The 22,926-nt window shown below is 36.3% G+C and overlaps 2 annotated features.

Annotated features, from left to right (window-relative positions):
* Positions 7,620-7,789: an enhancer, noted in NCBI's record as "experimental_20847 CRE fragment used in MPRA reporter constructs". NCBI's record gives its function as "activates a minimal promoter by MPRAs in K562 erythroleukemia cells, with activity observed for both the introgressed and non-introgressed 11:22425051 variant alleles {active_cell/tissue: K562}" and the evidence as "EXISTENCE:reporter gene assay evidence [ECO:0000049][PMID:34662402]".
* Positions 20,247-20,416: an enhancer, noted in NCBI's record as "experimental_20815 CRE fragment used in MPRA reporter constructs". NCBI's record gives its function as "activates a minimal promoter by MPRAs in K562 erythroleukemia cells, with activity observed for both the introgressed and non-introgressed 11:22412424 variant alleles {active_cell/tissue: K562}" and the evidence as "EXISTENCE:reporter gene assay evidence [ECO:0000049][PMID:34662402]".

Genomic DNA, 22,926 nt, shown 5'->3' with positions numbered 1-22,926 from the left:
TTGTATACTTAATTAGTTGAGTTTCTGATGAAAAATGTTGAATTTTGTCTAAAGCCTTTTCTACATTTATTGAGATCATATTTGTCCTTCATTCTGTTAATGTTGTGTGTCGCATTTATAGATTTGCATATGTTGCACAAAACTAACCTCTGTGAGATAAGTGCCACTTTACCTGGGTGAAAGATCGTTTTAATGAGCTGTTGAATTTGTTTTGCTAGCATTTCGTTGAGGATTTTTGCATCTATGTTCATCAGGAATACTGCCCTGTAATTTTCTTTTTTTGTAGTGTCCTTGTCTGGCTTTGATATCAGAGTAATCCTGGCCTTGTAAGATAACTCTCAAAGTACTACCTCTCTTTTAATTTTTTGGAAGAGTTTAAGAAAGATTGGTACTAGTTCTTCCTTAAATGTTTGGTAGAATTCAGCAAGATGCCATCAGGTCCTAGGCTATTCTTTGGCAGGAAAGTATTTGTTACGGACTTGATCTCCTTACTCCCTATTGGCGTGTTCAGATTTTTCTGTTTCATCATTATTCAGTCTTTGTGGGTTGTATACGTATAGGAATTTATTCACTTATACTAAGTTATCCAAATTTTTGGTGTATAATTACTCATAATTATCTCTCAAGATCCTTTGCATTTCTGTTGTATTTATTATATTGTCTCCTCTCTCATTTCTGATTTTATTTCTGTCTTCCCTCTTTTTTTTTCTCAGTAAGACTATCTAAACTTTTAAAATTGTGTTTATCCTTTTTAAAAAATTAACACTTAGTTTATTTGACATTTTCTATTGTTTTTCTGGTCTCTATTTCATTTATTTATGTTCTGATTCTTATTATCTCCTTCCTTCTACTACTCTTGGGCTTAGTTTGTTCTTGTTTTTCTAGTTTTTTAGGTGTAATGTGAGGTTAATTGTTTGAAATCTTTCTCCCTTTTTGATGTAGGCATTTATTGCTAGTAAACTTTCCTCATAGAGCTGCTTTTGCTGCATCCCTATAAGTTTTAGTGAGCTGTGTCTCTGTTTTTGTTTCTCTCAAGATATCTTAAAATTTGGCTTTTAATTTCTTCTTTGGCCCACTGGTTGCTCACAAGCATGTTGTTTAATTTCTGCGCATTTGTAAATTTTTACCAAATCCTTTCTGTTATTGACTTCTAGTTTTATACCATTGTGGTCAGAAAAGATACTTGATATGATCTTAATCTTCTTAAATTTCTTAGTACTTGTTCCTGAAGAATGTTCTATGTGTGCTTGAGAAGAATGCATCTTCTGCTGTTGTTGAATGAAAGGTTCTATATATGTCTGTTAGATCCATTGGTCTAAAGTATTGTTTAAGCCCAGTGTTGCCTGATTGATTTTCTTTTTAGATGATCTTTCCATTGCTCAAAGTGGGGTATTGAAGTCCTCTACTATTATTGCATTACAGTCCATCTCCCCTTTCAGATCCATTAATAATTTCTTTATATATTTAGGTGCTCTGATATTAGGTGCATATACAGTTTTACATTGTTTAAGGATGGGAATATATTCTAAGAAATTAGTGTTAGGTAATTTCACTGTTGTGTGAACATTATATTGTGTATTTACACAAACCTGGATGGTTTGTGCTTTCTGAGTACATATACAAGCTATATGGTATAGCTTATTGCTCCTAGGCTACAAATCAGTGCAGCATATTACTGTACTGAATACTACAGGCAATTATAACATGATGATAAGTATTTGTGTCTAAATATATCTAAACTTAGAAAAGGTACAGTAAAAATGCAGTATTTTAATCTTATGGGACTACCATTGTATATGTGATCCACTTGATTGAAACATCATTAAGGGGTGCATAACTGTATATTTACCACTGTTATATCCTTGATAAATTGACATTTTTATTACTATATAATGATGCTCTTTGTCTCATTTTACACTTTTGATTTACAGTCTATTTTATCTGATATAGCTACCCCTGCTCTTTCTTGTTTTCCACTTACATGGAATATCTTTTTCCATCTTTTCTATTTTAATCTATGTCTGTCCTTAAAGATGAAGTGAGTCTCTGTGGGCAGCACATAATTGGGTATTGCTTTTTTTATTTATCTATTCGACTTCTCTGTGTCTTTTGATCAGGAAATTTAACCCGTTTACATCCAAGGTAGTTTATTGATAGGTAAGGACTTACTATTGCCATTTTGTTGTGTTCTGGTTATTTTGTAAATCCTTTGTTCCTTTCTTTCTCTCTTCTTGTCTTTCTTTGTGATTAATTTTCCCTAATTTGATTCATTACTTTTTTATATCTTATATATCTACTATAGGTTTTTTGCTTTTTGTTAGCAAGAGCCTTACATAAAACATCTTTGAGTTATATCAGGCTATTTTAACCTAATAACTTAATTGATCATGTACACACACTCTAGACTTCTACTCCACCCCTTCCCCACATTTTATGTTTTAATGTCCAAATTTGTATTAGTATATTGTATATCACCTAACAAATTATAGCAGCTATTATTATTTTTAATAGTTTTATTTTTTAACCTTTGTACTAAAGATATGAGTGATTTACATACTATCATTATAGTATTAAATATTCTGAATTTGGCTGCACACTTATTTTTACCAGTGAGTTTTATACTTTAAGAAGATAAAATTTTAATGATTACTGTCCTCATCTAATTAAATTTTTCTCCCAGAAAACTTCTCAGTTAAAAGAAGAGTCATTGGAATGGATGCTAAAATGAGCTATCAGACATAGAGTTTTTATATGTGTATGTGTTTAAGTTGGTGAGCCTCATTTCTCAGCTTGATAGAGAAGAAAGCCTGTCTTTTTGTAGGAAGAACATATGAAATGGTTTTGAATTATTAGGACTTCTGGTAAAAATGTGCTATTTTAGATAGGTGAACTGTTCTGAAGCTGTGAGTCTGTCATCACCCTTATTAAATAAAATCCTGAAATTTCAAATCCTCATGCAGGTTGGAGCCAGATTTCAAACAGCTACTGAGCAGTGAGGGGCCTACTTTGTGCCCAGTAGCTATCCTAGATGTTCTTTGAAAGCATTGTCTCCTAAGCAAATGGAAGGAAGGCGCAAGAGCTCTTCAGCGGACATAGCAAACAAAAAAGCTGTGTAGCTTGAGTGCTTTCAGAGTACTGCAGCTTAGCTCTGCAGCACTGAGATGTCACTTTTCTTCTTGTGGGCATGGGGGATGGGGGAATGGGGGAAGTCACAAAAGTACAGAGGGTTAATGTAATTAAACCAAATCTCTCAAAATCCAGAAAATCTAGTTTGAGTGAAGGAACATATTCCTCAATCACCATCAACAATATTTTCCACAGGACACTTCCTGTTTTTTAAGCTGCAAGATTTATTGTATTGAAAACCTTCTATACTCTATGTTCACTTTCTTTAATTTTTTTTTTTTTTTTTTTTTACTGAAAGTTGCTATTTCAAAATTTTGGTGTGTTAGAAGAATTTGCTCAACTCTAGTTCTTCATTTGCTGATTATAATGAGAGAATGATTAGTTTTACAAATACAATTTGTCATAAAAGGTGCTAACTCAAAGAGATAAATTAAACTGATGTTTGTATTTATTGCCATGAAGATGAAAAGAGTTACTTGGAAATAAGCTGCAAAACTACTTCAATCAGAATCCAAGTGGAAATCAATAATTCATCCTCATACATCTTCTTACACTTTGCTGGCAATTGCAGACAAAATTAACAGCAACTCTGACAGCCAAAAGGAATGACTCTAGTGTGTTTCCCCAGGAGGGTAGAACCATTTCAGTTCCAAGGATATAGTCTCTACATTTTTCATACTCCTTGCCCTAGAAATGTATGAGTTAGATATTCTCTAACTTTGCTTTATCTACAGCTTGAGCAAATACTTTTTTCTTCTTTCTTTTAATTATTATTTGTATATAACCAAAAAGAATAAGTAGATTCTGTTTACGATGAACTGTTATTCTTTGAGTATATCAGAAATTCAATAACATCAAATCAGTAAAGGCCACTTATGAGCTGTGGAAGAGGCATTAATATTTTACAAGGTCTGCGGGCCATGATAAAAAAGGAGTCATCATGTGTCATAATCAGGGATCATTTGATTGCCAAGAACAGAAACACAGAAACCCTTTAATTCTAATATAGATAAAATAGCATTTATGATAAGGAATAACAAGCAATTGCACATGCATCTTAGGTCAAGAAATAAAGCAGATTTATGCCCTAGGGTGACTAAAATGTTATGTGAAACTCTCTCTGTCTCTCTCTTTTTCTCTTTCTGTTGGGTTTACCTCACTGAAGAATGGACCCTCTATCAAAAATTTAGTTCAGATGTTGAGACTAATAATGCCACACACACATAGCAGGAGGTTATGCAAAGGTTCATTATTCACTTAATAAGGCTTTCTGGGGAGAGCAGGGCAGGCTCTCAAGCCATTCCAAAAATGACTTGAGGAAGTAGGAGCAATTGGCTTTAAAGTTTATTGTGGTTTGTGTGGGGCTGGGGTATGGGTTCTTAGGCAGGGACTTTCATGGTTGAACTTTCCACTAATGTGAAGGGAGGGAGCACCAGGGCTTTATCAGTTTGCCAAGGTGTGACATAGAAGAGAAAGAGGGAGGAGGGTGAGACTTGAAAGCTGTAAGCAATCAATCATCAAAAATGTGGCCAGACTCATCATTATGCTCTCTTTCTTCCATTGAGTACAAATACTTTGAGATTTGATATTCTCTCTACACGTCTTTTCTTTCTTTTTTTTTAATTTAAAATTTTATTTTAAGTTCTGGGGTACATGTGCAGGATGTCCAGGTTTGTTACATACGTAAACATGTGCCATGATGGTTTGCTGCACCTATCAACCCATCGCCTAGGTACTGACCTTGTAAAATATTAAAGCCTCTCCCACAGCTCATAAGTGGTCTTTACTGATTTGATTTTATTGAATTTCTGATACATGGAAAGAATAACAGTTCATTGCAAACTGAGACTACTTATTATTTTTGGTTATATAAAAATAATTAAAATACCATCACCTAGGTATTAACCCATCACCTAGGTGTTAGTTATTTTTCCTAATGCTCTCCCTCCCACTACCCCACCCACTGACAGGCCCCAGTGTGTGTTATTCCCTTCCCTGTGTTCATGTGTTCTCATTGCTCAGTTCCCATTTATAAGTGAGAACATGCAGTGTTTGGTTTTCTGTTCCTGCATTAGTTTGCTGAGAATAATGGCTTCCAATTCCATCCATGTCCCTGCAAAGGACATGATCTCTTTCCTTTTTATGGCTTCATAGTATTCTATGGTATATATGTACCATATTTTATTTATCCAGTCTATCATTAATGGGCATTTGGGTTGATTCCATGTCTTTGCTACTGTGAATAGTGCTGCAGTGAACATACACATGCATGTATCTTTGTAATAGAATGATTTATATTCCTTTGGGTATATACCCAGCAATGGGATTGCTGGGTCAAATGGTATTTCTGGTTCTAGATATTTGAGGAATCTCCACATCATCTCCCACAGTGGTTGAATTAATTTGCATTCCCTCCAACAGTGTAGAAGCGTTTTTATTTCTCCACAGTCTCCTCAGCATCTGTTGTTTTTTGACTTGTTAATAATCGCCATTCTGACTGGGATGAGATAGTACCTCATTGTGGTTTTAATTTGCATTTCTCTAATGATCAATGAGGTTGAGGGTTTTTTCATGTTTGTTGGCCACATGAATGTCTTCTTTTGAGAAGCGTCTGTTAATATCCTTTGCTCACTTTTTAACAGGGTCATTTGTCTTTTTTCTTCTAAATTTGTTTAAGTTACCTGTAGATTCTGGATATTAGACCTTTGTCAGATGGGTAGATTTCAGAACTTTTCTCCCACTCTGTAGGTTTCCTTTTCACTCTGATTATTGTTTCTTCTGTTGTGCAGAAGCTCTTTAGTTTAATTAGATCCCATTTGTCAATTTTTGTTTTTGTTGCAATTGCTTTTGGAGATTTTGTCATGAAATCTTTGCCTGTGCCTATGTCTTGAATGGCATTGACTAGATTTTCTTCCAGAGTTTTTATAGTTTTGGGTTTTACATTTAAGTCTTTAATCCATCTTAAGTTTATTTTTGTATAAGATGTAAGGAAGTGGCCCAGTTTCCATTTTCTGCATACGGCTAGCTAGTTTTCCCAGTACCATTTATTAAGTAGGCAATTCTTTACCCATTGCTTGTTTTCATCAGGTTTGTTGAAGATCAGATGGTTGTAGATGTCTGCACATCTTTCCTATTAACTTTTTGGAGCATGTGCTTCTTCTCTAAGTATCATTCTGGAGCTCTGTTAATGATGGCAAAAACTAGTGATAACTCTCAGTGGCCTTATATAAATAACTAAACCTCTTTATTTAAATTCAATAATGAGAAACAGAGCGTCAGAGAGACAAAGGAGAAAAAATGAATCCTATGCATAGGTACTCCTGGGCAACATCTACACTCTGGCCCATTCAATTCTAAGGAGATAAGGTCATGTGGTCAAAATATGGATACTCTGGTATCCTCTCTCTAAAGGTCCTGTGGTGGGGGTAAATTTCAATACAGGAAATGCCAACAGGGAGGCTATTATAGTGTATCATTAATACACAAATGAGTTTTAATGCTAATACTAATACAGTAATACACCAACTCAGTGACGAGAACTGCAATGCCAGATCAAAGGAGGATCACTACAAACATTGATCAGAGAAGGTGAAAGGACAGAAAGAGATGTGGTCAGCCAAGGACATGGTAACTCATAGATAGCACAATGTGCTGTATAAATTGGGCAGACAGGTAACCTTGGTTATTGATTGAATGAGGTCAGAAATAAGCAAAAGGTTAGACTTATTAGTAAAGAGAGACAAACTGATCCATTACTCAATAAATGCTTACTGAGCACCAGCTACATTTTAGTTATTGTTCTGAGTGGTATTGATATATCAGCAAACTAAACAGAAATATCCTGTCCATAGAGCTGTAGTTAGGAAAGAGAGACATGTAATAAACAAAGAAATAATTAATTTATAATATGATGTTTTGTGGTGATAAGAATATGCTTATACAACACAGACAACAGAATTCTATGCAAGCTAACACATTTGTTCAAGTCAGTAGCCTTCAAAGCCAGATGATATAATCCAGATTGTGAACCAAACTCTGTGTCACCCAGAACCACCTTTTTTTGCACTCACTTTTGAGGAAGATCCATAACTTCATTGTACCTAAATGAAAAACTTATAAGTAGATTTGAAGGCAATGAACCATCGTTAAGCCTGCCAAATCTTGTTGGGATTTTGAATGGAACCGATCCATTACCATTTTGCTTCTTATATAGAACTCTAAACAAAATTGTGGAGTTTGCCATCACATAGATGCTCCACTAACATTCAGGACTTCCTTGACTGCCCCCATGGAAATCTTCTCCCATAATTGATTTTATTTAAACTAACTCCTTACTTTCTGAGCTGACAATATTTTAAGAGATGAGGCCAGAGATTTCTTCCATTTCTGTTTTTGTCCTAGGAAGAACTACATAAAATACAACGACATATTTGTTTGAAGGCAAGAGTGAGCTGCTGAGGCAGCCAGAAATTGAGGTGCCAAACCCTCAGATGTGAAGTTCATTGAGGTGAGTCCAATATTATTTTTTTTTCAGGTAAAATATGAGTCATAGTCCTTTTTAAAGTTAGGCCTATAACTCACATTATGAAAGAGGGACTATTATCGAGATAAAAGACAAATGGGTGTTCACGTTTGTCTTTAGGGATTTCATCTGGTAACTTTGGTTTCTTTGCCTGATCTCTATATATGCCATGATATTCAGGCTCAGGCAATCACTTGGAGTCTTTCATTTGGACTAGGGCGCCTGTGATGTTTTGGCCCCAGGGATACTGCTCAGAGTTATAGGTATACTCTACAGTGTCTACCTGAAATGCCTAAAGTTTCAAAGAGGAAACAGAAAGGAATAGTTTTTAAATCCCTATGCTATATATTTGATGATAATCTAATTGGAACAGAGACTAAAACAGGGAACACAAGATATCAGAAGGCAACACTATTCTTCCCATCAAATGTGCTTTTTTCTGGTGTTCCCACCTCAGTTAGTGAGCCCTCTATCCAACGACATATTTTCTTATGCCAGAAACTTGGAAATAATCTTCAAATAAAATTTAGCAGTTTTACTGACATATCATTGACATATAAAAATCATATATGTTTCAGGTGTGCAACTTGATATTTTGATGTAGCACATATATTGTAAAACTATGTTGCAGCTAGTGAACTTATGTGTCACCTCTACATAATTACTCTGCGTGTGTGTGTGTGTGTGTGTGTGTGGTGAAATTTAAGATCTATTCTCTTAGCATATTTCAAGCATAACATACAGTATTTTTAACTATCTTCCCTATGTTGTACATTAGATCTCTAAAACATGTTCATTTTTCATAATTGAAACTTCTAACACTCAACTCTAACATCACAAATTCCTGTCAATTCTTCAATAAAAATATATCCAATTTTAATAAAGTTTATTTATAAATATTTTTTATGATGAGTGTTTCTTGTATCCTGTTTAAGGTGTATTTGCTTCATTCTTTTTTCTCTGGAAACTTTATTGTTTAAACGTTGACATTTTCTATTAGGATACCAACTTGTTGTATTTTGCTTATTGAAATGACAATTTTTTCTATACTTAATTGAAAGTGGAAAATTTGTAATAAACCAGATGACTGTAAATGTACATGTATGTGACCAGGCAATCTGCTCTGGATTGACCAATTTGTCTATTTTTGTGTCGTACTGCATTGTCTTAATTGCTGTAGCTTTATAATGAAATCTTGGTATCTGTTTGTATAAGTTCTTACTTTCTTCTCAGTGTGTCTTAGATATTCTAAATCCTTTGCATTTCTTTTTTTTTTTTCTTTTTTTGAGATGGAGTCTCGCTCTGTCGCCCAGGCTGGAGTGCAGTGGCACAATCTCAGCTCACTGCAAGCTCTTCCTCCTGGGTTCACGCCATTCTCCTGCCTCAGCCTCCCCAGCTGCTGGGACTACAGGCGCCCGCCACTACGCCCGCCTAACTTTTGTATTTTTAGTAGAGACGGGGTTTCACTGTGTTAGCCAGGATGGTCTCGATCTCCTGACCTTGTGATCCACCCGCCTCGGCCTCCCAAAGTGCTGGGATTACAGGTGTGAGCCACCGCGCCCGGCCTGCATTTCTAAATAGAACATCTTGTCAATTTCCATGAAAATATTAAATAGTAACTTGGATTATATAAAATCTATACATATGTTTGAGGAGAATTGACAAAGAATATCAAGTCTTCCAATACATGAGTAGAGAATAAACTTTCATTTCTTTAGGTCTTTCTTAGTTTATCAAAAGACAAATTTAAGGATTTAAATTAAAGCTATAATGGGGAAAAGATTTTTAATACTTATACCTGACAAAGGATTGTATCCATAATAGGTAGATAACTCCTCAAATCAATAAAATCAATTTAAGTGGGCAAAAAGATTCAAAGCTAATAGAATGAATAAATCTGGTATACTGATACCAGATTATGCTGCATAATGATATATTATACAGCACTGCAAAAGGATGAACTACTGGTAAAAGAAAAAATGTGGATGACTCTCACATACATAGCAGTGAGAATTAAGCTATATACAAGAGAAAATAGGCTTATGAATTCATTTATATGAAGCTCAAAGACACAAAAAACTAACATATGGCAACAGCTATTAGCTTGTGGGATTACTGAATGGTAGGGAGCATGAAGATGTGTCCTGTAGTGCAGAAAATGTTCTATGTCTCTATTTGGCTTGTAGAAACATTGCTTAACTGTACTTCACATTTGGAAAATTATTGTGCTGTACACTTGTTTTGTTCTCTTTTCAAAATGCTCATTATATTTCATAAAATAACATATGTAGCATATATGTGTGTATGTATATACACACAGTATCCACTCTTTACCATCCGCAATGCCACTTTAATACCAAAAGTCTGCTATAATAGTCTATTTCTTCCCTCCCCCATTCCAGTAGCCAAGGTAATCATTTTAAAGTGTAAATTGGTTACTTTACTATTTGCTTAAAGTCTCTCAATCGTTCCCATTGAACTTAAAATAAAATCCAACATTTTAACTTGGCCTACAAAGCTTCACCTACTTTGCCACCTGGCCCATGGTAGCTGTAAAAATTCCTTATAGGAAGGCCTTTGGTGTACGATTCGTGATCTGTTTTCATTTTCTTGTATAAAACTCGTGAAAAGTATAAGGTGTGGTAGATTGAATTATAAATTGTGATTCTTTACCCTTCGCTGTATCCATGCCCTTTGTCATGAGATTTTAGAGTTCCTTCCACAAAGGTATGAATGTCCCCTCCTTATCTTTGGCTTCAGATATGTGAATCACTTTATCTGATGAGATATTAGCAGATGTGATGGGGTTCAGAATATGCATGATCAGTGGGGTTTCCCCTCTTGCACTTCTGCCATCACCATCAGCTTGTTAGTCCCAGAAGAAAGATCAGAGTTATCTGGAGCAGGTCCTTAGCGTAAAGCACAGCTGCCTCAGTTCATTAATAGATTGTAAGCCAGAAATAAGTGCTTATTGTTGTATGCCACTAAGACTTTACAGATGTTTCTCAAGAAGAATTATTGTAGCATTGACATAAGAGCTGAACTTCACCCAAACTACTTTTATTGCAATTGTCCTTGCTTACCTAGTTATTCTCATTTCAGATTGGTCTTTCCTTGGATCTATGGCCTTCCTTTGGCTCATAAAATTTGCAAAGTTCTATTTAGCCCAAAGTCCTCCAAATATGCTATGCCTCTTTTTGAATTGTTTAAGGCCAAATATTGATAGAGCAATACAATTTAAATATTGTTAAATTTTTACAATATCTACTAAAAATAGAGATAAAGCATATGAAGAAACATTCCTCGAAACAATAATTAATTATAAGAAAGGTGAGGAATAAAAGATACAATGTAAAAATAAATACTATGAAAGCATGAGTGGAAAACAAAAATGCAATAATAGTGTATCAAAAATACCAGGAATGAGAGTAAATTTGAATGAGTTATAATCTCCCAATCAAACTCAAATTCTCAAATCTTGTCCTTAAAATAGTCAGGAATATATCTAGGAAAGGCAATAAAACAAAATAAGACAAAGTTTGGAAATAAATAATGGAACAATGATATAAGTAAATGCTAACAAAGAAAAAATGGAACTGGCAATATTAATGTCTCAAAAATATAATCCAACAGGGAAAAATAGATTGAATAAACCAATTATTTTCTAAAGGTACAAGTGAACAAGAAGATACTACTTCCTTGAATTGCATCATTGTTGTCTTCTGACCTTTGCCTTCCAGTTGGATTTGGCCAAAGGAAGATAGAGCAGTGGATAGAGAATAGCTGGGTAATAAGCAAGGTATTATACTCCTCAGTTTCCCTCTGCAGGGTCATAATGGATTTGCTGTTCCCTCTACAGAAGCCATAGGTGCAGTCAGGCCCTTTTTGCTGAGTCTTCTCCTATGGCTACAGCTACAATTACAGCTATCATCTCCAGTTCACTGAAGTGCTCCTTCACCTTGCTTCTTTGTGTCTAAGGGCAGTAATAACTCCCTGGATTTCTGTGGTTACTAACTCCGAAGTACTTCACTATCTCTTGGTGGTTTCCTTTAACCAAGCCCACACCTGGTAAACAGACCCAGTATCAAACTATTTTCCTTTACTGTGTTTGAGTGTGAGGTTTCCTGATGAGAACCTGGCTCTGTACACACACATATAAACGTGCATTTCAAATATATACACATATATTTGCTTAATATAAGCAAATGTTACTTTGACTTTCCACATTGTGTGAGATAAGCTTAAATTTATAAATTGGTTATTCAACTGTCTATAAATACTTTTTATTTTTAACAAAGTCAAATAGTAAACTAGTCTGTGGTTAGCCCTCACATCTTAAGAGATTAAACCTTAGAATACCAAGTGGACATCATTGTGTCAACCAGAAACATTCTCCTGAACATTAAAAATGCTCAGGTGCTTAAATACATATTTTATCTTACCATATCATCATGTGCAGAATATAATTCTGATTTATAGAATTTTTATTTTTTATCACTTCTTTTTCCATAAATTCAAAGAATAGATATATTGCTGAATTGTATTATCGCTGAGAATGTCTGCAGACCTAAAACCTAATGAATAACAGGAAGGAAATGACAAGAAAGTGAAGTAAATAGTTGTCACGTCCAGGTTCAGGTTTGACCCTCAGAAACGTTGTTATTTTGACAAGGTCTTCTCAGCTCAGACTTAACCCCTCCCAATCGCGTACCTAACAGGTTTTCTCTATTTTTTATCAAAACCTGTCTTCAGGCATTTCATTTTCACTCAGATTTTATTAATTGATAAAGTTAGAAATTCCAACTTAATTTATTTCAATACTCTCCTCTAATGTCTTTGAATCCCTTTTTTTGCTGGCTCGTCAAAGACTTTCAAAGCCAAAAATGTTGTCAATTATCACTGAATCTCCAAAACATAGTACTGTTTTACGCGAATAACCTTTATTTATTGAGTACCTACTAAATGACAGTCCCTGCCCTAAATTCTTTAAGCATGCTGTCACATTTAATCCTCACAATCTCTATGATGTAGGTACTCTTATTTAACATGAAAGATTGTACACTTAAGTTCTCGGTTGTCTTGTGGTCATTAGAAGGTGTACAATGCATGTTTGTTTAATACATAAATTGGAATATCAATTACCAGTTCATCCTAATGAGAATTCAGTGGACCTGTTTAGCTATAGAATACTCTGTGTTCCAATGGGCCTGGGTGTCTCTTTGTCATTCCAGTTGTCTTTGTAAAGAAGCGCCAAAACACCTTGTAAGCCAAAGAACAAATTGTGAAAGTTTTCTTGATCACAATTTTAGTGGGAATACAATTCACATCAAGTAGGTTTGAAAAATGGAAGTGGCTGAATTTTAAATTGTCTGTCTTAATCAAACCTTTCTTTTAAGTATACACTCTTCTCTTGTATTTAAAGAGCACATATTGCTGCGGTTCTTAAGCTTATCCAAAGGTCAGGCTAAGATAAATTATAAGTGGAAAAGGGGAGAAATTGCATGGGAGTGGAGTGAAGATTTGTAGCAGAAGGAAATAGCAGGCCCAGTAGGAAGATACTTGGATCAGTGGGGGACAGTCAAGGTTGATGAATATGAGGAAGAAAGTCAGTCTAATTCCAATAAATGCCCATATGTGTAGGAGTGAGAAAAGCAGATCCAAAGCCCAGTCCTACCAAAGAAGCCATGCTTAGAGTGGAGGAAAAGAGCCTAAGAACAGTCTGGATCCTCCTCACAAGTCCTATCTCCCACACAGCTGACAAGGTCTTATCTGGAGGGAGTTGTATCTTTCCAGGGTGAGAGGGTTTGAATTAAGACCACTGAGGCTGGGAAGCTGCAGTCTTGGTGTCAGATTCTTTTCCTTATTTTACCTTTCTTGGCTATCTTTTCTTTTATTTATTTGTTTCTCGGAATCTCCTAGCTCAGAGATTTTGACCACAACACTGTCAGCTCCTGTACCTGCCTAAAACTCTGTTTCCTTAATGAGTAGCAGGACTAGAACTCATGAGAGTCAATGTAGTTCAGTTGATCCTCTTTATCAATGTACAGCAAAAACCTGAAGATTTCTTTCACTCACTCAGGAGTTTAAATTATTAATGTACCCTGTGAACCTTTTTCTTTTTAACAAAGAGGGTAATTTTAACACAATTATATACAATAAACTACTAGTAATAAACAGTGCAGATTGAATTTCAATTTTTCTTTCTTCACCAATACTGTTAATTCTGGGCCCATCTAATTCTTTCCAATTTTTCCTCTGTTCTAATTGCCCAGGATTCTTCTCTGTATGTTGTGCAATGCTAGTTAACACCCAATACTCACTCTTACTTTCTTTTTTTAAACAAGAGAACTTTCATAGTATTTATGGTCACTAGGTAAAGATTATTCAGGCTCCCTTGAAGATATGTACAGTTTGTTTAAGTTTGGGCCAATGCAATCTGAGCAGAGCAATGTGTTTAATTTCTAGATTATGCCTCTTCTCATAGACTGGAATATGGAAGTGGAGGAGAGCCATCTGCAAACATGCAGATAAGGCAATACGCTCAAGATGGGAGAGCAACCAAATGAGCAAGCTTCCATCTTCAGTACTGTCAAATAATTCTACCAGCCTTGGACTCCCTTCTAGGAGATGAATAAGGCAAACTTTGATCCTGTTTAAGTCAAGCAAGCCAATATGTTTGGAGGCCTTATTCTTATAACAAGCAAGCCTGCATCCTAAGTACTGTATTGTATTCTTGTCCACACCATTTTTTCACTGGACTGGTCACTCCACGTGCCAGGGTTCTTTACTACTAATCAGGTTCTTGATTTGAAAGTGCCCAAAGTTTGTGTTTTAGAGTTGCCGTTAACCATATTTAAACAAGATTTTCTTCATTCCAATGCACCTAATGAAATCTCTTTTATATGTTGGGAGTAATCTTTGTTGTTCTAGATCTACCGGGAGAGTAGCTTGCAGATATAAAAGTTCCCTGAATGTTCAAATGGAGATTCTTTAGGAAGTATTTGTCTGTGCAATCTCTTTAAAACTTAATCACTCAGCTTATGCTCTGTGCTCCAGATCACACTCCAAAAATCAAACCAATACGGAACACAACATTCAAACATCTCTCAACACCTTTCCCATTTAGCTTTTCTTAAAATTTTGTTTGCAGCATATAATGTTTATTTTACTTTTAAAAATTGCTTTAAATCCCAGACAAAATCATTTTAAATTGCAAGTAAGCCCAGCACCTGGAGTTAACCATTCTTACTGTTTTTATTTGTTTTCTTCTTTTATTTTTTAAAATAAATGTTATAATACATACTTTTCACATTTAAAAAATGACTCAACTCTATATTATGTAAAATAGTAAAGAATGCCAAATGCTACAACAAACAACTCCACCTACAGTGCTTTACATAACTAAGATGTATTTCTCACTGAAACCATAGTTGAGAATAGTTTAATAGGTATATTTTTTGCACTCAGTCATTCGGAGACCCTGGAACCTTCCACCTAGTGGCTATGCCCTCTTCTGGTGCTTCAAAGCCATATAATGGATTCTCTGGATCTGGCTAACAGGTAAGACAAGGTTTAGTATGGAGGCATGAAGGATCTCATGGGAGATTTCAGAAGTCATCCTTGAAAATGATACCTATGACCTCTGCTTTCACACTATTGACCAACATTCAGTCATATGAGAACACCTAAATGCAAGAGGCTGAGAAGTGCAATTTAGCTGTGTGCTCAAGAAGTTGAAATGTGACAGTTTTGGTGAGTATTTTATCTCTACATGTTCTCATGTCAATACATATCTCTGAAAATGTAATTATATAGATGATTTTTGCCTACTATAATATTCATATCCCTGGCTCTGATTCCTGACTGTATACCCCAGTATCCATTTCTGTTTTTAGATGGATCTCATTAAATTTCCATTTGTTTTTCTACCCATTTCTTGTTTCTGTTCTCTCTCGTTGCTTCAGCATCTCACCATAAACTTAGCGAGGAGTTTTTCACTTTAAACCTCAGTCTTAAAAAACCTAATTATTTCCCAAAAGTTGATATGTATGTGGAATAATAGGTGGCAAAATGGACATTTGGAAACTGCCAATCATTCATTTTTACTTGTCTGTTAATAGCTCCCAGTTCTGGAGAGGGAGGGGAATTTATCTCCTCCACTGCTCTCAGATCATGAACTTCAATTGGAACTGACTCCACCCTTAATTCCAGGGATAGGAATCAAACCTACGTCCAATTGATTAAAATATCAAATTTCCTTTCCAAAGTTGTTATTTCAAGGAAAGTAGAGTCTCCTTGAGAGTGGCTAAACCTTAGAAGAAAGCAAAGTCGATACATACCTAATTTCCACATTTGAGAGATTAAATAAATATTTTCCTCAAATCTGTACACAAATTGATGCTTTTTTTCAGTTTTATATGAACTATTACATTCTAATTTGGGTTAGACTTCTTTCTCTTTCACCAAATAGTTCTAACTAATCATAAGCCTGAAAACATGGGGAGTGATTCAGGTTTTTCAGTTCATTGAAATGTCACTCCAGGAGGAAAAAAAAAAGTGATATCCAGGAAGCAACAGAACATATTTAAAATAAGAAAAAGATTCTTAATGAATAAATCAGTAAAGTAGAAAAGTACGCAAAAGAGGAATAAAATAATGATCAGAGTATCAAAATAAGTCCAATGTAGAAAAGATAAAGTTCGAAAGCTGGTTCAGTAATTAATTCCAGGAATATTGAGTGTCATGGTGTAATGGTATCCTTTTTCACATTGCTAGGAAAGCTTCACCAATAAAAACAGGAGCATATCCTAAAGTTTCAAGTTAACATAGCCCATTTTTGACAGGATTAAATTTCATATCTCAAGTTACCAAAAAAAAAAAAAGTTTAACAGAGTGTTTTAGCTCAACCTGAGTAGAGAGTGGGTGTAGACTTGGCAAAAAGGTCAGCTAACAAATACCCAGGGAAAAGGCAGTGATTCTCCAGAGAAAGATTTGGAAAAGCAAAATGGATTCTCCATTGCTATAATCTCAGAGCTTAGATGCATTTCTGTATCATGGGCCTGAGCACAGATTTCTGGATGAATACGTGGTAGCTTACACCTAAAATCTGACCAGTACTACCTCTTAGAGCATTTAAATCTTAATGGCACTGTTAAAATCTTGAGAAATTATTATGACAATTAATGGCTTCTCGGACTTTTGGCTAAGATCAAGTGAGAAATTATTATGACAATTAAATAAACCTTTGTGGCAGATCATTCTTGTTTCTTGGAAAATCACACAAATCAGACATTTTTGTACAACTGTTTTATGGAGATGACTATTAGAAATTGAAGTGTCTCAGAAGTTGCAGAATTCAGGTGCTAAACTGCTTGATGTGCTAGTCTGAGTGTTTGTTGATGTTGGGCAGAGTTGCATATCTGCACACTGTGTTACCTTCAGAGAAGGTCTAATTTCCAAGTATGGATTTAGAGTGATATGCATTCAAAATACCTAGTATCTTGTAAAATTATGTGTGCTTCCTTTGAACTACTTTGCCACAGGAGAAATGCCATTTATCAATGTCATCGACAGTATCTATGTTGTAAAATTCGAGCACTAATTTCTTTCCTCCTTTAAATTAATCTCAGCAGCATTTGACACTGTGGTCACCCTTTTCTTCCTGAGATACTCTTTTCTTCTAAATTTTGCATCCATGGGAGGGCCCTGGATTGCAAGTTACTGAACTCTAGAAAATCTGGCTTAAAAAATAAAGGGGTTTTATCAGGTCATTGACAAAATACAAATATGAAAAGATCAGGAGTAAAATGGGATGCCTTCAAATAGAGTTTGGTCTGGCCTCTAGCTCCATTTATATACAGTCCTTTGAGTTCTGCCCTTCCTCCAAGAGTCAATTTCATCCATGAGTGTGTTCTTTATAATTTCAAGACAGCTTACAGCCAAATCTAGGGCAAATTGCTTTCTCACCTACACCTGGAAGAAAAGATAGTTTTTCTTTATTTGTGGAAAAATAAAACCCTGAGTTTTATATTTATTAAAACAGCCTGGAATAGAATTATATAGTCAAGATAATGACTTGCATTATTTGAATTAAGCCAGTACTACCAAAACCAACTCCTGAGTCAAGGGGGATAATATTATCCTGACAGATTTGCACTAATTGGGAACTTTTTTGGAGATAGGATAGGATCAATCCCATCTAAATTCCACAGCTACCACACCAGGAAGAAGGAATGAATTAGAAGAGAGTTAGTGAAATAGAAGGTCTATTTCAACTTTGATGAAACCACACATCTCTCTCTTAGTGCTCATGACTGGCTCTCCTCCGTTGAAGCTGTACATACTGGATGTTTCAGAGCTTGATCCTGGGCCCTCTTCTCTATACTTTTTCTCTTGGTTGGTATCACCTTTTTGATGACTTTAAATATTATCAATTGGTAAATGACTCTCAAATTTATGACTGTAGCCCTGACCTCACTCTTGAGCGTTAAACTTATTTGTCCAACTTTTTACATAACAACTATACTAGAATTCTAATAAGCATCTCAAATGTAGCATGTCCAAAAGGTATTCATTTCCCTGCATTGTTTTCTCTTTCCCTTGTTTATTAACCCAAGTTAGCCAATAACACTGTCAACTAACAAATGCCAAAAATTCTGAAGATTATCCCTGATTCATTTTTCCCCTTACCTCAGAATTCAATTCATCAGGAAATCCTGTCTGCTTTTTGTTCAAAACATTTTGCAACTCTGATAGATTCTTATCTTTTCTATGGTTACTTTCCTAGTCCAGTCTCTATTGTCTGTCAACTGAACACTGCAGTAACCCAGCTGGTCTCCTGTCTCTATTCTTACTTCCCCTGAGAGCATACCTTCAACAATCACTCATAGGAATCCCCATCTTGGGCTCTGCTTCTCAGAAACTCTACTCAAGATTCCTCCTGTGTTAGTCAGGGTTCTCTAGAGAGATAGAAGTAATAGGATATATGTATATATGAAGAGGAGCTCATTAGACATATTGACTCACATGGTCACAAAGTGAAGTCCCACCATAGGCTGTTTGCAAGCTGAGGAGCACGGAAGCCAGTCTGAATCCCAAAAACTCAAAAGTAAGAAAGCCGACAGTGCAGCCTTCAGTCTATTGCTGAAGGCCTGACAGCCTCTGGCAAATCACTGGTGTAAGTCCAGGAATCCAAAAGCTGAAGAACTTGGAGTCTGACATTTGAGAGTAGGAAGCATCCAGCACAGGAGGAAGATGAAGACTGTAAGACAGCAAGTCTGCTCCTTCCAGGTTCTTCTGCCTGCTTTTTCTAGCCATGCTGGCAGCTGAGGGGATGGTGCCTAACCAGGTTAAGGGTGGGTATACCTCTCCCAGCCCACTGACTCAAATGTTTATCTCCTTTGGCAACACCCTCAGAGACATACCTGGGAACAATATTTTTCATCCTTCAATCCGGTCAAGTTGACATTCAATATTAACCATCCAGCCAGGCACAGTGGCTCACGCCTGTAATCCCAACACTTTGGGAGATTGAGGAGGGTGGATCACCTGAGGTTGGGAGTTCGAGACCAGACTGACCAACATGGAGAAATCCTGTCTCTACTAAAAATACAAAATTAGCCAGGCATGGTGGCACATGCCTGTAATCCCAGCTACTTGGGAAGCTGAGTCAGGAGAATCAGTTGAACCTGGAAGGCAGAGGTTGGGGTGAGCCCAGATCGTGTCGTTGCACTCCAATCTGGGCAACAAGAGCGAAACTCCATCTCAAAATAATAAAAAAAAAAAATATATATATATATATATATATGTATATATATATGTATGTATATATATGTATATATATGTGTATATATATGTATATATATGTGTATATATATGTGTATATATATGTGTATGTGTGTATATATATATATGTATATTAACCAGCCACCTCCTTAGAGAGGCTTTCTTGACAACCCAATCTAACCTCAACCCACCACTATCCTCTCTATCTCATTATCCTCTTTTATTTTTGCCCAAATATATACAATTTTGGGACTTTTTCTTATTTATTTACTTTTAAAAATATGCCTCCAGGACATGTAATAAACTTTGCATGTCTTGACATACATACATATGTGACATACATACATATGTCATGACGTACATACATATGTTTGGAACAGTGCCTGTTTATGTGTGGTCACACAGTCAATGTCTATTGAATGGAAGAAATGCAGGCTTTAAATACATATGAAGAGGGAAAGGCTTTCTCTCCCTGGACTTCAATCCCTTGATCCTGGTCTCTGAGGTAGGTAGATGTTTTTAATATAGCTGCAGGTAAAGAAGAAAAAGGTGATCTCTACCTCAGGGACATAGACCGAGAAGAAGGCATGACATTAGCCCTGAGCCTTGCCAGGAAATCAGCCTGGAGTATTCTGTAAGAGATGCCTGAGGAAGGCCCAAATCATGCACCAGCCCAGAGATTTCTGAGTCCAAATCTGAGGGCCAAATTGGCCTGGAGGCATTTAAATAAATGCCAACATTGTGAACCCAGGAAGCGGAGCTTGCAGTGAGCCGAGATCGCACCACTGCACTCCAGCCTGGGCGACAGAACAAGACTCTGTTTTAAAAAAAAAAAGAAAAAAAAAGCCAACACTTAAATAAATGTGAAACGTCATACAAACATCTAGATTTTTAGCCTCTCTTGAAAATAAGTGATATCATTCCCACATGGCCGCAATCTGCTGGGACTGAGGTGTTGCTACCCCTGTTCTGCCGGGTGTGTTTTCAATGTTACCATATCCCCACTAGCCATTCTTCTTTTATTGCATAATATATGTGGTCCCTATATGCCTTCGAGTTTGTAATCCTCACAGTGACAGTTAAAAATCACTGTATTTAGAACTTTTTCTATAATCCCATATTCTTTTGGGAAATAACCTATGTTTAAAGTTTAAACTGTACTGTGAGTAACTAAAGGGAAAATTTGACTGGTAAACAGGAGATTATAGAAGAACCCCATAACTTGGTGTAAGGTGTACCCTGCACAAAGGGACTAGGAGAAGAGATCTGCTGAGAGTGTAAACTCAGCCGGAATTCCACATGCCAAGCAATGTACCCAAGCATGAGACAGCCTCAACCGGAAGAAGGGGTGTCGTTTTCAAAAATCATCTGCCTCTTTGTAATTCATTGGCCAATCGTGGGTCCTATGTAGCGGGTAAGGGCCAATGACCCCTTAGGACAGCATGAGAGTAGCAAAAGGAGTCCTTGCTGAAACTCTTAGTAGTTGTACAAAAAGTGGCCTGTGGCTGGGGATCAGTTCTCAAGCACTTAATGCAGCAAAGGCCCAGGTAGTGGCTCAGATAGACATGAGAGCCCACGGGAAGCTCCCCAAAAGGAAAACTGGACATTGAGACAGGAGTAGACTTCAGGTTCAACTGTTAAGTAACCACATTAGAACCTAGAAGCAGAATGACTCATGGGGATTCTGGTTTTGCTTTTCAGGCAACTTTTCAGTCTCATATATTCTGCAGATCTCACATTGAGATATACACAGTTGGTGGTTCTCAAATAAATACATTACCCCAAGTAATAGCTCTGCCTTCTGCATGACTGATGTTGCTGTTACACTGAATACTTTCCCTGAATTTTCTGAGTGAAGTTAAATGTAGACTATGATACAAACTGCCAAGTGGAAGAAATCGGACTCTTGAGTCATTTGAGATGCCAGTCACACAGCCGAGTACACTTGTTTTATGCCCTTGTCTCCAGTGCTCATTTTATTTATTGCCCTTTGACATAGGACTTCTGCCATCTGATCCTTAGGGAACCGACAACATGTCTTGTCAGACAGACTTCTTGTCAGAAGAGTGGCAGTGTAGCGTCAATATGATGTCTTCCTCACCATCAAGAATTCATGTTCGCTTTTCCATTGCTGACTAGCATTTCACATTCTGCATTTCAGATGGTATTATGGTAAAATCAGATGTTCACATTCCTGCACATCTTGGAGACAATGCTAGAAAATCAATGCCCATACTAAGCCAAGTATAATGGTATTGGTCAAGAATCTTATTACCCATAGTAGAGGAGAGAGAAATGGAGAGATTATAAAGAGTAGCTGTTTGTGGTCACTAATTGAACAAGATCTTAAAAACTAAGACCATGATAGATTCTCCTAAGAGCAGGAGGAGGCTGCTATGCATTGAATTATGTCCCTAAAACCTCATATATTGAAGTCCTTACTCCTACTGCCTCAGAATGTTACCTTATCTGGTAATAGGGTCACTGCAGATGTAATTAGTTAAGATGTGGTCGTACTGAAGTACAGTAGTAACTAATTCAATATGATTGGTATCTTTATAAAAAGAAGTGCATGTGAAGAGACAGACATACACACAGGCAGAACACCATGTCAAGATTAGAGTTATGCTGCCATAAGCCAAGGGACTAACAGAAGCTAGGAGAGAAGCCTGGAGCAGTTCCTTCCATAGCACCTTCAGCAGGAGCACAACCCTGTTGGCATCTTGATTCCAGACTTCTGGCCTCCAGAGCTTTAAGACAGTAAATTTCTGTTGTTGTAGGACATTAACTCTGTGATATTTTGTTAAGACATCCCTATGAAACTAATATAGAGGTGTTGTGAGTTTGCAGATTTTGGATTGGACACTATTCTCTTTTGTGCAATTGTGTATTAGTTAGATAGGAGTTACAGTTTTGGGAACCATGGGAAAATATAAGAGACCTAAGAGATGGTTCTTACCTTCAGTGAGTTTGCTGGGGAGCAAAATAATAAGGCAATAATAAATAATATATAATAAATAAAATATTAATAATAAAATAATAATAACTTGCTGTCAGTGAACAGAAAAAAGCATGATAGACAAGCCCTCTAGACCCATTCCCTTCCTTCTTAGTGCTACCTTTCTCACCACCCTACACAGGGTTTCCATGCAGTCATGTGACTGCTCCTGCCCTCCACAAAGGGTGTTCCTAGGACACCCTTTTTCTAAGTAGGTTCCTAAGACCTATTTTTTCTGGAAAGCAGCTCTTTCCAATTACCACTGCTCCTGGGATTCATTTCACTTGGCTCTATCCCAAGAATGAGTACTGTGTTGTATCTGAATTAGCACTAGTCTTGTGTTCTAGTCCGAAATTGGACAAATCATAGAAAATCCCTGAATCTTGATTATTTTTCATTTGGAAAAGGGGGAATAATGACTCTTCTCCATTATATGTCAAATCATTGGAACAAGGATCAAATAAAGGAAAATGTTCGAAGGTATTCTGAAAATCTG

This window comes from Homo sapiens, chromosome 11, assembly GCF_000001405.40.
Source record: "Homo sapiens chromosome 11, GRCh38.p14 Primary Assembly".
Classification (NCBI taxonomy): Eukaryota; Metazoa; Chordata; class Mammalia; order Primates; family Hominidae; genus Homo; species Homo sapiens.
Note: the sequence above shows the minus strand (reverse complement) of the source record. Positions and strands in the feature narration are given on the sequence as shown.